This window comes from Homo sapiens, chromosome 11 (genome assembly GCF_000001405.40).
Source record: "Homo sapiens chromosome 11, GRCh38.p14 Primary Assembly".
Lineage (NCBI taxonomy): Eukaryota > Metazoa > Chordata > Mammalia > Primates > Hominidae > Homo > Homo sapiens.
The window spans coordinates 73,615,570-73,631,191 of NC_000011.10; the positions used below are offsets into that span (position 1 = coordinate 73,615,570).

The following is a 15,622-nucleotide window of genomic DNA, read 5'->3' on the forward strand; positions in this document are numbered from 1 at the left end:
GGTGGTGGCTGGGCATGGTGGCTCATGCCTGTTGGGAGGCCAAGTTGGAAGGATCACTTGAGCTCAGGAGTTTGAGACCAATCTAGGCAACATAGAGAGACCTCATCTCTACTAAAAATCGAAATAAATAAATAGGTGGTGAATTTTTTTTTTTTTTTTGAGATGGAGTCTCACTCTGTTGCCAGGCTGGAGTGCAGTGGCGCAATCTTGGCTTACTGCAACCTCTGCCTTCCAAGTTCGAGCGATTCTCCTGCCTCAGCCTCCCGAGTAGCTGGGACTACAGGTACGTGCCACTATGCCCAGCTAATTTTTGTATTTTTAGTACAGACGGGGTTTCACCATGTTGGCCAGGATGGTCTCATTCTCTTGACCTCGTGATCCACCCGCCTTGGCCTCCCAAAGTGCTGGGATTACAGGCATGAGCCACTGCACCCAGCCAGTGGTAACTTTAATCAAATGATTTTTCTGCATCTCTTGAGATGATTCTATGATTATTTTAAAATTTATTCTGTTAATTTGGTAGACTATGTTGATTGGTTTTCAAATGTTAAACCAACCTTGTATTCCTTGAATAAACACAACTTGGTTGTGTAGTATTATCCTATTTATAGACCTTTGGATTTGGTTTGCTGATATTTTGTTTAGAATTTTGCATCTTTGTTTGGCCTGTTATTTTTCTTCCTTATAATGTTCTTGTCAGGTTTTCGTATCAAGGTAATGCTGAACAGATAAAATGAGTTAAGAAGTATTCCCAGTTTTTCTGTTTGCTGGAAGACTTTGTATAAAGTTATTATTATTTCTTCCTTAAATGTTAGAAAGAACTCACCATTAAAACATCTGGACCTGGAGTTTTCTTTGTGGGGAGATTTTTATAAGTAACAGAATCAATTTCTTAAAACAGGACAATTAAGTAGGCTGTTGTTCTAGAATATGGTTGTTTTCTAGAATATAGTTGTTTATAATATCCTCTCACTATAGTTCAATAAATGTAGGCTCTGTAGTGATGGCCTTATTTCCATTCCGAAGGGATAGTTTTTTGTGTCTCCTTTTTCCTTCATCACTCTTGCCAGGAGTTTATCAATTTTGTTTTATTTTTTATTTTTATTTATTTCTTGAGACAGAGTCTCCCTCTGTTGTCCAGGAGTGCAGAGGCGCAATCTCGGCTCACTGCAACCTCTGCCTCCCAGGTTCAAGAGAGTCTCCTGCCTCAGCCACCTCAGCGTGCCACCACGCCTGGCTAATTTTTGTATTTTTAGTAGAGACAGGGTTTCACCATGTTGGCCAGGCTGATCTCGAACTCCTGACCTCTGGTGATCCACCCACCTTGGCCTCCCAAAGTGCTGGGATTACAGACGTGAGCCACCACACCCAGCCAAGTTTACCAATTTTAGTAGTCTTATCAGCTAATTACCTTTTGGTTCTGTTGATCCTCTCTTTCATATCTTGGTTTTCTGTTACTAAATTCCTCTGTCATTTTTTACTACTTTCATCCTTCTACTTTATTTGGACTTAATTTCTGTATGCTTTTCCTAACTACTTGAGGTAGACAGTTCGATAGTAGATTTTTCAGCCATTTTTTATTTCTAATATATGCATTTAAAGCCATAAATTTTACTCTAAGCATGGCTTTAGCTGCTTCTCACAAGTTTTGACTTATTGTATTTTCATTATTATTTGATTCAACTGGTTTTAAATGTTCACTGGGGTTTGTTTTTTGACCCATGGGTTATTTAGTAGTATACTGCTCAATTTCCAAACATTTTGGGATATTCTAGCTTTCTTTTTCTTTTTCTTTTTTTTTTTCCGAGACAGAGTCTTGCTCTGTCACCCAGGCTGGAGTGCCATGGCACGATCTCAGCTCACTGCAACCCCTACCTCCCGGGTTCAAGCGATTCTCCTGCCTCAGCCTCCCGAGTAGCTGGGACTACAGGCGCCCACCACCACACCCGGCTAATTTTTGTATTTTTAGTAGAGACGGGGTTTCATCATGTTGGCAGGCTGGTTTCAAACTCCTGACCTTGTGATCTGCCCACCTTGGACTCCCAAAGTGCTGGGATTACAAGCGTGAGCCACCACACCCAGCCGATATTCTAGTTTTCTTTTTGTTTTTTATTGCTAGCATAATCCATCTGTGGTCATTGAGTATATGCTATATTATATATTTCAGTTCTTTGAAATTTAGTGCTATTTACATTGTGGCCTAGCATATCAATAAGTATTCCAAGTGCACTTGAGTATATGTTCTATAGTTGTTGGTTTCAATGTTCCATATATGTCAATAATAAGGTCAAGTATGTTAAATGTGTTATTCAAATATTCTTTGCCCTTATTGTTTTTTTAATTTGCATATTCTATCAGTTACAGAGAGAGGTGTGTTAAAATCTCTCACATGTTATCATGGATACGTCTGTTTCTTCTTGAGAAATAGGTCCTGCCCTAGAACCTTGCACAGATGAGTGTGAGGGACTGACACATAATGAGACAATAACTGTGAGAATGTTTAGACATTCTGGCAGAGAAAAATCCAGTAAACACTCAAAGTTTTGTTCCTACTGAACTCCTGGAAGTTCCCTGAATGCAGATTTTGTTTTTCCCTATAAGACTATGGTGGTTGCTGGGTGCAGTTGCTCAGGCCTCTAATCCCAGTACTTTGGGAGGCCAAGGTGGGCAGATCACTTGAGGTCAGGAGTTTGGGACCAGCCTGGCCAATAAGGTGAAACCCCGTCTCTACTAAAAACACAAAAATTAGCTGGGCATGGTGGCACACACCTGTAGTCCCAGCTACTTAAGAGGCTGAGGCAGGAGAATTGCTTGAACCCAGGAGGCGGAAGTTACAGTGAGCCGAGATTGCGCCACTGCACTCCAGCCTGGGCGACAGAGTGACACTCCATCTCAGAAAAAAAAAATGACTATGGTGGTTAATTTTATGTGTCAACTTGACTGAAATAGAGGATGCCCAGACATTTGGCTAACCATTGTCTTGATGTAGCTGTGAGGGTTTCTGGAAGAGATTAACATTTGAATCCGAAAACTAAATAAAGCCCTAATGTCGGTGGGCCTCATACAATCAGTTGAAGACCTGAACAGAACGAAAAGGCTAAGTAAGAGGAAACTCCTCCTGCTTGACTACTTGAGCTGGATGGGTATCAGGTCTTTTCCTACCTTTGGAGACAGGCTGAAACTTCAGCTTTTCTTGAGTCTCAAACCTGCTGGCTTTCAGGCCACATTGGTGCTCCAGGTACTCCTGGGTCTTCATGTTCTGACTGCGGATTTTGGGACTTCTAAGCCTCCATAAGAGCATGAGCCAGTTCCCGTGTGTGTGTGTGTGTGTGTGTGTGTGTGTGTGTGTGTGTGTGTGTGGTGGGAGTGGTTATCAAAATGGACAGCAGAGTCAAAGCAGCAATGAGAATAGTCTGATGTGCACAGATCTATGGCGTTGGCTAGCTGAGCATGGTGTTCCTAGAAGTGAAATAGATAGGAAGCCTACTAAATTCTTACTTGATCTGTAGAAAGCAGAAAAGTACTAGGTTAAGTGGACAAAAGTCTAACTCAAATCATAAAAACAGAGAGCTGCAGAAGCTCAATCAATTCCCAGGCTTAAGCCAGTTTATAAGCCCAGAACCCCTTAAATGGAGGGGAGACCAGGTTCCCTTCAGGAACCTGAAGCCTGATATACAGCCCCAAATTTATACTGTCAATCTTTTATTTTCTTTTTCCCAATACACAGTGACCGTGGTGAAAGGTGAAAGTGACCCTTTCACCAGGGTCACTGTGTGTTGGGAAAAAGAAAATAATCAGACCTTTTGGGGACTCCTGGACACTGACTGAACTGGCACTAATTCCAGGTGGCCTAAAATGTCATGGTGGTCCATCAGTCAAAATAGGGGCTTATGGATGTCAGGTGGAATTTTAGCTCAGGTCCGTCTCACAGTGGGCCCAGTGGGTCCCCAAACCCATCCTCTGATTATGTCCCCAGTTCTGTGCATAATTGGAGTAGACTCACTCTGCAGCTGGCAGAATCCCTACATTGGTTCCCTAACCTATAAAGTGAGGATTATTGTGATGGGAAAGGCCAAATGGAAGCCACTAGAACTGCTTCTACTTAGGAAGCTAGTAAAACAAAAGCAATACCACATTCCTGGAGGGACTGCAGAGATCAATATCTCAATCAAGAACTTGAAAGATTAAGGCATAGTGATCTTCAGGGGTGGAGGTACCCACCAAATCCCCATTCAACTTGCCCATTTGGCCTGTGAGGAAGCCAGATAAATCTTAGAGAATGATGGTGGATTATTGTAAACTTAACCAGGTGGTGACTCCAGTTGAAACTGCTATACCAGATGTGGTTTCATTGCTTGAGCAAATTAACGTATCCTATATGTGGTACCTGGTATGCAACTATTATCTGGCAAATGTGTTTTTCTCTATCCTTGTGAATAAGGACCACCAGAAGTAGTTTGCTTTCAGCTGGCAAAGCCAACAATACACCTTCACTATCACACTTCAGGCGTACATCAACTCTTCAGCTCTATTTCATAATTTAATTTGCAGGGATCTTGATTGTCTTTCCCTTCCACGAGGTATCACACTGGTCCAATACATTCATGACAATATCTTGATTGGATCTAGTAAGCGAGAAGTAGCAACTACTCTAGATTTATTAGTAAGACATTTGCATGTCAGAGGATGAGAAATAAATCTAACAAAATTTCAGAGGTCTTCTATTTCAGTGAAATTTCTAGGGGTCCAGTGGTGTGGGGCATGTCAAGATATTCCTTCTGAGGTTAAACTTGTTGCATCTGGCCCCTCTTACAATGAAAAGCAAGCACAATGTGTAGTGGGCCACTTTGTATTTTACAGGCAACATATTCCTCATTTGGGTGTGTTTGGCCCAAATGAGGGACATTTACCAAGTGACCTGAAACACTGCAAATTTTGAGTGGATCCCACAATGAGAGAAGGCTCTGCAACAGGTTCAAGCTGCTGTGCAAGCTGCTCTGCGCTTGGGCCATATGAACCAATGGAACTTCAAGTGTCAGTGGCAGATAGGGATGCAGTTTGGAGACTTTGGCAGGGCCCTGTAGCTGAACCACAGTGCAAGCCCTTATGATGTTGGAGCAAAGTACTTTCATCCTCTGTGGATAACTACTCCCCTTTTGAGAAACAGCTCTTGGCCTGCTACAGGACCTTAGTAGACACTGAACACCTAACCATGGGCCACCAAGGTACCATCCAAACCGGGCTGCCCATTACGAATTGGGTGTTATCTGGCCCATCAAACCATAAAGCTAGGCATGTGCAGCATACTCCATCATCAAATGGAAATGATATATATAAGACTGGCCCTGAGTAGGCCTTGAAGGCACAAATAAATTAGACAAGGAAGTGGCCCAGGCAGGGGCGTGGTGGTTCACGCCTATAATCCCAGCACATTGGGAAGCCGCAGCTGGCAGATTACTTGAGGCCAGGAGTTTGAGACCAGCCTGGCCAACAAGGTGAAACCCCATCTCTACTAAAAGTACAAAAATTAGCTGGGCGTGGTGGCACACGCCTATAGTCCCAGCTTCTCAGGAGGCTGAGGCAGGAGAATTGCTTGAACCCAGGAGGCAGAGGTTGCAGTGAGCCAAGATTGCGCCACTGCACTCCAGTCTGGGCAATGAGAGCAAAACTCCATCTCAAAAAAAAAAAAAAGTGGGGGGGCCCAATGCCCAAAGTCCCTAGTATAGCACCTTATCTCTCCCAGCCTTCACCTATGGCTTAATGGGGCATTACCTACAATCAGTTGACAGAAGAAGGAAAAACTCAGATCTGCTTAAGAGTGCCAGAGCTGGTGTCCATGTTCATAATGAAGCATCCTAACTGATGAAACAAAAAGACAAGGCTGGGTGCGGTGGCTCACGCCTGTAATCTCAACATTTTGGGAGACCCAGGCGGGTGGATCACCTGAGGTCAGGAGTTCGAGACCAGCCTGGCCAACATGGTGAAACCCTGTCTCTACTAAAAATACAAAAAATTAGCTGAGCATGGTGGCACATGCCTGTAATCTCAGCCACTCAACAAGAGCAAAACTCCATCTCAAAAAAAAAAAAAAAAAAAGAAAAGAAGAAAAGAGAGACAGTAAGGAGAAGAGAGGAGAAAGTAACTCAGAGAAAACAAATCCACTCTGAAGCCGTTCTGAGAGTAAAGTAAACGCTCATTGAGTTTTTTTGTTTTTGTTTTTTGGAGACAGGGTCTCACTCTGTCACCCAGGCTGGAGTGCAGTGGCGCGATCTCCGCTCACTGCAACCTCCACCTCCCAGGTTCAAGCGATTCTCCCACCTCAGCCTCCCAAGTAGATGGAATTATAGACACACACCACCATGCCCAGCTAATTTTTGAAATTTTTTTTGGTAGAGATGGGGGTTTCACCATGTTGGCCAGGCTGGTCTCAAACTCCTGACCTCAAGTGATCTGCCCGCCGCGGCCTCCCAAAATTCTGGGATTACAGGTGTGAGCCACCATACCCACACCCAGCCCTCACTGAGTTTTGAGGCAACACATGGCATTTTTGTGGCAACTGACTAATATCAGCAATAGGAAATTCAGGAAAAGAAAGAGAGGATGTCACTGGGGAGGGCACACAGGGCTTCAGAGTATTAGTAATTCTCTGTTTTTCAAGCTGAGTAGTGAGTTCATAAGTGTTCATTACATACATCATTATTCTTTAAACTTTAGACATCTATTTTACATACACTGTTATTTTTTATTTTTTTAGAAAAAAGGTCTTGCTTTATCACCCAGGCTGGAGTGCAGTGGCACAATCACAGCTCACTGCAGCTTCAAACTCCTGGGCTCACACTGTCTTCTTGCCTCAGCCTCCCAATTATACATACTCTGTTATTTAGTAATTTTTTCAAAATAATAAAAAAAGAACGAGGGAGAAGTCCAGGCACGGTGGCTCATGCCTGTAATCCCAGCACTTTGGGAGGCTGAGGTGGGCGGATCTCTTGAGGCCAGGAGTTTGAGACCAGCTGGCCAACATGGTGAAACCCTGTCTCTACTAAAAATACAAAAATTAGCTGGGCGTGGTGGCTCATGCCCCGTAATCCCAGCTACTCTGGAGGCTGAGGCAGGAGAATTGCTTGAACCTGGGAGGCAGAGATTGCAGTGAGCCAAGATCACGCCATTGCACTCCAGCCTGGGCAACGAGTGAGACTCTGCTTAAAAAAAAAAAAGAAGGAGAAGTTTGGGACCCGGTGCTGAATGGAAGGTGGTTTGAGACAGGTGGGCAGATTTCAAGGGCTGGTGCAGAACAAGGATGGAAGGGCTAGAGTACAAAGATGGATAAAACCAGTGCAAAGTGGGTAAGACAATAGTTGGATCCAGGTGGTAGAATCTGAGGGGATTTTATTTTCTTCTTCACCTTTTTCTGGGCTTCCCAAATATTCTATAATGAACATACATGACTTCTGTAATCAGAGAAAAGGACAAAAAATATTATGATGGACACTATTGGTCACTTCCCAACAGGCATTTTCTTTCTTCCCTGTTGACAGCATGAGTCATGATTGGTCTAATCCAGCCCTGGTAGTAGTCTCCTTCCTCTGTCGTTTGTTAAGTGGTGTCTTTGGGTCCCAGTTCTGACCAATGAAATGAAAGGGCAAGTCTGCTGAGGGGCAGGATTTTAAGAAAGATTTTCTTACTTGAGAAAAAAAAAAGAAAAAGACAAAAACAGGAGAGACAAGGCAGGAAGCTCTTCTGATATTCCCATCTAGGTTTCGGGTGTTGTCAGGTCATGATATGATATTTGGATCTGCAGCCGTCATCTTGCAACCTTCAGGGAAGATGTTGCCACAGTGAGTGGCTGAGGGGAGAGATGGCCAGGCCCTCGATGACAGGTTGAGCCACTGAGTCAATCCAAGGACTATTCTGCTAACTTCTTGTTAAGCAAGGTACAAAACTTCAATGGCTCCAGTCACTTTTGGTTAGAAAGAGTCAGTTACAGCCAAAAATGTGCTACTTGACACATTTTTTTTTACATGTGAGAAGAGATACATCTGGATGTCCTTAGAAGTCAGTTTCACCTCCCCAGACTTCTAGTTCGGCAAGTCTGAATTAGCCCAATGGAAGAACTGGCTGCTGTTATCAGCCACTGGGTTCCAGGGGCTCCCCTTTCTAACAAGGTCACTCTTCTACAAGGGAGCTTCTAAAGTTACACAGTCACACAGCTGTTCCCTCCCCTCTGCTGATCCTATTTATAAGTTCCTTTTTCTATCATTCATGTCAGCAAAATATGTTCCTTCCCCATTTCAGCATTACGGAAAGTGGGGTAATGAGCGTTCCAGGGATTGCTTGTGCCCTACTTCTCTGCTTGCTCATTTCTCCCTATTAGATCCTATTTTATATCTGCACCACTGAGCAGAGCTAGTGGTGCAGATATATAACCTCTTTGCATGACAAAGTGCTATACAAAGAAGAAACCTTGGGATAGAGACAGCAGAATAGAAACAAACTCGAACTGACCAATGTCAATATCTGCTGATTGCAACTGGCTCTGTCCTCTCAACCAGATATGCTCCTCAGGATGCTTGCATGCATGCAGTGTGATAGGCAGGGGAGGGGCAGGGTCTGTAGCTCCAGCAGTGCCATCTACTCAGGAGTCCTCCCCAAGGGTCCACTTTCTGTGGCCCTTCATCCACCATGGCTCATCTCAAGAAATTAGCAGTCCCTCCCACCTCCCCAAAGAATGAGCTTTTAATAACATGATTCAGGCTAGGCATGGTGGCTCACGCCTGTAATCCCAGCACTTTGGGAGGATGAGGAGGAAGATCGCTTGAGCCCAGGAGTTCAAGATTGCAGTGAGCTATGATTGCACCACTGTACTCCAGCCTAGGTGACAGAGTAAGACCCTGAAAAAAAAAAAAAAAAGAAAAGAGAAAGGAAAGAAAGAAAAACAGAGAGAGAGAGAGAAAGGGAGGGAGGGAGGAGGGGAGGAGGGGAGAGGAGGGGAGGGGAGAGGAGAGGAGAGGACAGGAGAGGAGAGGAGAGGAGAGGAGAGAAGAGGAGACTTTAGAGGAGAGGAGAGGAGAGGAGAGGAGAAGAGAGGAGAGGAGAGGAACAACATGAGTCACATCATGTCAAACTCTCCAAGGCTTTCCATTGCAGTCAATATGTGTTTGCTCCTGTCTTCCTCTCTGTGCTTCCTCACACTGGTGGGTCACAGCCCGTGATCTCCACGGTACCTGTGGCCATGCCCCTTCCTTTTTGTGTTTTTTGAGACGGAGTCTCACTCTGTTGCCAGGCAGGAGTGCAGTGGCATGATCTCGTCTCACTGCAACCTCCACCTCCCGAGTTCAAGCAGTTCTCCTGCCTCAGCCTCCCGAGTAGCTGGGACTACAGGCACGTGCCACCATGCCCTGCTAATTTTTTTTGTATTTTAGTAGAGACAGGCTTTCACCATGATGGCCTGAATGGTCTCGATCTCCTGATCTTATGATCCGCCCACCTTGGTCTCCCAAAGAGCTGGGATTACAGGTGTGAGCCATCGCGCCCAACCTTGTCCCCTAGTTTTTATTGAAAACCCACATATGACACCTTCTCCAACAGTACCTGAGAGGAAGGAGAGGCTCTGGAGAATCTGGACTTCAAGACTTCAGCCATATGGGCAGGCCCAAGGTCCTCCCAAACACTGAGTTTTGAGAATGCCAAAGCCACAATCTGTAATAGCTGGTTGTTGGAGGGAACCTTCAGCTGCCCCTCCCCACTCCCCATCCAAACCCATCTCCTCTCCATGAAGGACAGGCTGTTGGTGGAAATCATCTACCAGGCACAGGGGTGACTTTATAAGTTCTAGCCAGGCTGGGGACTGTCAGATTACTTGGTCTGAAGAGCTGCTCTAAAATGCCAGCCCAGGGCCGGGCACAGTGGCTCACACCTGTAATCCCAGCACTTTGGGAGGCTGAGGCAGGCGGATCATGAAGACAGGAGTTTGAGACCAGCCTGGCCAACATAGTGAAACCCTGTCTCTACTAAAAATACAAAAATTAGCCAGGAGTGGTCACAGACCCCTATAGTCCCAGCTACTTGGGAGGCTGAGGCAGGAGAATCGCTTGAACCTGGGAGGCAGAGGTTGCAGTAAGCTGAGACCGTGCCATTGCGCTCCAGCCTGGGCGACAGAGTGAGACTCCATCTCAAAAAAAATAATAAAATAAAATAAAATGCCAGCCCAGAAGGAGCCTAGTTTATCTAGTTCTTCACCTTGGCTAACGCATTGTAAAGTCCTACCTGCTGGGTGCCTGGCTTGAGTGCAGCAACCAAATATGGCCACAAGGGGGAAGTAATGCCTCTCGCCTGCGGCAGGGGTTTGGCTTCAACCAGGAATAGCTAGATATTTTTATCCTATTAAAGCAGAAGAGCCAGATGGAGATCTGGGGGTGCCCTGGTGAAGACAAATAACTTGATGTACCATTAAAATAACATTCTTGGCCAGGCGTGGTGGCTCACGTCTGTCATCCCAGCACTTTGGGAGGCTGAAGTCGGGGGGTAGCTTGAGTTCTGGAGTTTGAGCCTGGGCAATGCAGTGAGACAAAAAAATTTAAAAATTAGCTGGGCGTCGTGGCGTGCGCCGGCGGTCCCAGCTACTCGGGAAGCTGAGGCGGGAGGATTCCTTGAGCTCGAGGCTGCAGTGAGCTGTGATCGCGCCACTGCACTCCAGCTGTGGTAACAGTGAGTCCCCCATCTCAAAAAAATAAATAAGTGAAATAAAATAACATTCTTTAAATACTCGTTCAAATGTACTTAGTGGGGACGAAATGAATACTTTTCTGTTAATACAACAGTATATTTAAATTAAAAACAATAACTGCAAATACATTTACTGTATGTAAATATATACAGTGGGGTTAGCGGTGGGTTCCAGGACCCCCATGGACACCAAAATCTACAGATGCTCAAATCCCTTATATAAAATGGCATTGGCCAGGCGCGGTGGCTCACGCATGTAATCCTAGCACTTTGGGAGGCTGATCACCTGAGATAAGGAGTTCAAGACCAGCTTGGCCAACATGGCAAAACCCCGTTTCTACTAAAACTACAAAAATTAGCCGAGAGTGGTGGAGGCATATCCCTATAATCCCAGCTACTGGGGAGGCTGAGGCAGGAGAATCACTTAAATCCGGGAGGCAGAGGTTGCAGTGAGCCAGATCGTGCCACTGCACTACGGTCTGGGCGGCAGAGCAAGACTCCATCTCAAAAAAAAAAAAAAAAAAAAAGTCAATGGTAATGATGGATCACTTAAAAATTGCACTCTTTATGTTCAAAATAGAGATGTATTTTACGCACTGAATGTAGCATACTTTTTTGAGGAGAATAAATAGTTAATACATTCACAAGGTTTAAAATTCAAATGATACAAAAGGGTGAATTAAAATCTCTCTCCTGGTCAGGCAGAGTGATTCATGCCTATAATCTCAGCACTTTGGGGAGGCTAAGGCGGGAGAATCACTAGAGCTCAGGAGTATGAGACCACCCTGGACAACACAGCAAGACCTCATCTCTACTAAAATAAACAAAATTAGCCAGGCATGGTGGCACACACCTGTAGTCTCAGCTACTCAGGAGGCTGAGGTGGCAGGATCGCGTGAGCCTGGGATATCATGGCTACAGTGAGCTATGATCCCACCACTCCACTCCAGGCTGGGTGACTGAGCGAGACCCTGTCTCAGAAAAAAAAAAAAAACTCCTCTTTCCCATTCATATTCTCCAACCATTGAAACCATTCAGTTCCGTCCCATAATAGTTATCTATTACTGTGTATTAAACCAACCCAAAACATAAAAGCATAGTGGCCTAAAGCAACAACCTTTTAAAAAACATTTTTTTTTTCTTTTGAGATGGAGTCTCACTCTGTCGTCCAGGCTGGAGTGCAGTGGCGCGATCTTGGCTCCCTGCAACCTCTGCCTCCCGGGTTCAATCAATTCTCCTGCCTCAGCCTCCCAAGTAGGTGGGATTACAGGCATCCACCACCACGCCCAGCTAATTTTTATATATTTAGTAGAGATGGGGTTTCACCATGTTGGACAGGCTGGTCTCAAACTCCTGACCTCAATGATATTCCTGCCTTGGCTTCCCAAAATGCTGGGATTACAGGCGTGAGCCACCATGCCCAGCTAAAAAAAATTTTTTTAACAGCCTTTTTTTTTGCTCAGGATTCTGTGGGTCAGTAATTTGGGCTGGGCTCAGCAGAGTGGTGCTTCTGCTTGTCTTGCCTGGGGTGAATCATGCTGCTTCAGTCCTCTGATAGATTGGTGGGGATACACCTACGATGGCCTCACTCACTAGCGTGACTGTTCACACTGTTCACGCTGGCTGGCTGCTAGGCCCCTCTCTCCCTGTGGTCTCTCATCCTAAGGCGGGTAGCCTGGACTTCTGTATGTGGCAGTCTCAAGGCAGCAAGAAAAAAAGGGTGGAAGTTGCAGGGCCTCTTCAGACCTAGGCTCAGAACTCTGACATCTCCCTTCACTTGCCTTCTGTTGGTCAAAGTAAGTCACCTGGTCAGCCAAATTTGAGGATGAGGAATAATATAGACTCCACCCCTGAAGAGAAAAGCAGCAAAGTCATATTACAAAACTCTGCTCATAGAGGGATTTTGTGTCTATCTTTTGCAATCTACTATGCCTCCCATGGAGTTTCTTAGGTGTCCTTCTATAAATATTTTGTACATATTTAAATATTCACAGACAAATGACTCCACTTCAAGCCAGAAACCTGAGTGTCTTTCCTAAATTCTCCTTTTCCCTCAAGATCTACACCCAATCCATCAGCAAGTTAGCAAAATCTCCAAAATGCATGCAAAATCCATCTATTTCTCACCATCTCTGTTGCCACCACCCCCCTTCCAAGTCACATCCATCTCCTGCCTGCCTCCTAGTCTTCCTGCTTCCACTGTGGTTGCACTTAAAGCCATTCTCACACAGCAGGTAAAGGGAGCTTAAAAACAGAAATCACATCATGTTATTTCTTTGCTGAAAACTCTCCAAGCCCTTCCATGCATTCAATATGTGTTTGCTCATGTTTTCCTCTCTGAACAATCTCATTCCACTCTCCCCCTTTCTTTTTGAGATGGACTCTCGCTCTGTTGCCAGGCTGGAGTGCAGTGGCATGATCTCAGATCACTGCAACCTCCGCCTCCCGGGTTCAAGCAATTCTCCTGCCTCTCAGCCTCCCAGGTAGCTGGAACTGCAGGCACACGCCACCACGCCCAGCTAATTTTTGTATTTTTAGTAGAGACGGGGTTTCACCATGTTGGCCAGGATGGTCTCGATCTCTTGACCTTGTGATCAGCCCGCCTCGGCCTCCCAGTGTAGGGGTTCAATCAGGATGGTGGGAAAAATTGTAAAATAAACACAAACCTTGGAAGGCCAGAAGGTTTTTGCAAAAGCCTCAGGATAGAGTTATGGCTGAAGGCAGCCTAATCCTCTTTGAGCTATAGCAAGGGTAATTAACATAGGAATGTAGAGGAGTCTATTTAAATAGCTTGTTTACTCATGTGGTCCTAAGACTAACCTTTGACCATCCACGGGTCCATGATTGCTGTCTACTCTGGGGGTCAGCAATGGTAATTACCTTCTAGTGGTGTTTACTTGAGACTTTTGTCATTTAATGTGTGCTGAATAAATGCTGGGAGGGCCAACGAGTAGGGGCCGCAGTTGCAACTCTTTACAGCACTCTCCTGGGAGTCTGTAAGCGGCCCAGACTCTCAGCCGGACTGACAAGCATAATATCTGTGTCAGTGTATGTTACTCATTCATCATTGGGTTAGGGTCTGCAGGATGGACCCCCACATCCCAAAGTTCTGGGATTACAGGTGTGAGCCACCGCGCCAGGACACTCTCCCCTTTTTTATTCACGAAGGTACAGCCTCTTTGCTCTCATTTGAGAGCAGGCTCTTCTCTGCCCCAGGGCCTTTGGAACAGCTGCTTCTTCAGACTAGGCTCCTCTTCCTCTTGGGGTTTCACTCCTTTTTTTCTCCTTTGTGCAATTGCTTAGATATTATTCCTCAAGAAGGGCTTCCCTGACCATAATTTCCCCTGCCTACTGTACCATCATTTCTATTACAACATGCTGTTTATTTCCTTTAGTATTCATCATATTATCTTGCTTAGGTATTGGTTGTCTTCTATTTTTCCTCTCTCCTCTTTTCAGAACTTAAGGACTTTGTCTTTTCACTGATGGATACTCTGCACCAAGTATAATGTCTAGTATACAATAAGGGTTCAATAAATGCCTGTGGATGGAATGAAGATTAAAGAAGACATGAACGGCTGGGCATGGTGGCTCATGCCTGTAATCCCAGCACTTTCAGAGGCCAAGGTGGGTGGATCACCTGAGGTCAGGAGTTCGAGATTAGCCTGGACAACATGGTGAAACTTCGTCTTTACTAATAAGACAAAACTTAGCCTGGCATGGTGGCATGCACCTGTAGCTCCAGCTACTCAGGAGGCTGAGGCATGAGAATCGCTTGAACCTGGGAGGCGGGGGTTGCAGTGAGCCGAGATTGCGTCATTGTACTCCAGCCTGAGTGACAGAGAGAGACTCTGTTTCAAAAACCAAAAAAAAAAAAAAAGGAGGACATGAACAGTGACATTACCTTATGGTATAATAAAGGGAAGCCCTTGACTATGGGAGCCTGGAGGAAGCTCATAGCACGGGCAGAGAACCCTGGGGATTCTGGCAGGACTTCCTGGGGCTGTGGTGTTAGAGCTGTGTTCAAAGGGATGCATCTGAGGATGTTGGGCTGCAGGCAGTTGGGATGCCAGGCAACCTCCAGAAAACAGGGTCGCTTTAATAAGTGGAGCAGATATCATAGTGCTTATGAGCACCAACCCTAGAAAAAGATATTTTAGGCCAGGTACAGTGGCTCACACCTGTAATCCCAGTGCTTTGGGAGGCCGAGGCAGGAGGATCACTTGAGCCCAGGAGGTCAAAACTACAGAGAGCTATGATCGTGCCACTGCACTCCCAGCCTGGGGGACAGAGCAAGACTCTGTCTTTTTTTTTTTTTTTTTAAAGAAGAAAAAGAAAAAGAAAAAAAAGGGGGGCATTCTAATGTGGGATCCACTGACTCATGTAATTATGAGGTCTATGAACTTGGATGGGGAAATAATTACATTTAATATTCTCTAACCCTTTTCAACTTAAAAAAGAAGAAGCTGAGGCAAAATGAGTAGAGAAATGGGCCAAGCTTGAAACTCGGGAGCATAGATTAAAGTTGCCCTGAATACACACTCCAATTAGCAGCAGTTACAAGTGGATTTTTTAAGGCAAAAAAAGGGGACAGGAAGTGTGCAGATGCAAAGTTGTTTGTCAGGAATTCTCATTGGATTACAGAAATAACATCGATTAGCAATTGGCTATACATTGTTAAGCTATAGGGTGTGGGTTACAGGGTCCAGTGTAGTATTATTAGGTTAACTTCTAGCTACTTGTGGCAATAGCAAGCAGTTCTAAGAGATGAATACATAGCTCAAGGGGGAAGTAGGATGAGATTCCTGTCTCTTTCTTTTTTTAATTTTTGTGGGTACATGGTATGGTTTTTTTTTTTTGTTTTTTTTTTTTTTTTCCTGAAATGGAGTCTTGCTCTGTC

The 15,622-nt window shown here is 45.0% G+C and overlaps 2 annotated features.

The window, feature by feature from the left end:
* Positions 10,092-10,608: an enhancer, noted in NCBI's record as "H3K4me1 hESC enhancer chr11:73336706-73337222 (GRCh37/hg19 assembly coordinates)". NCBI's record gives its function as "activates a minimal SCP1, AML or CMV promoter by ChIP-STARR-seq in primed H9 embryonic stem cells {active_cell/tissue: H9 hESC(primed)}" and the evidence as "EXISTENCE:reporter gene assay evidence [ECO:0000049][PMID:30033119]".
* Positions 10,609-11,123: an enhancer, noted in NCBI's record as "H3K4me1 hESC enhancer chr11:73337223-73337737 (GRCh37/hg19 assembly coordinates)". NCBI's record gives its function as "activates a minimal SCP1, AML or CMV promoter by ChIP-STARR-seq in primed H9 embryonic stem cells {active_cell/tissue: H9 hESC(primed)}" and the evidence as "EXISTENCE:reporter gene assay evidence [ECO:0000049][PMID:30033119]".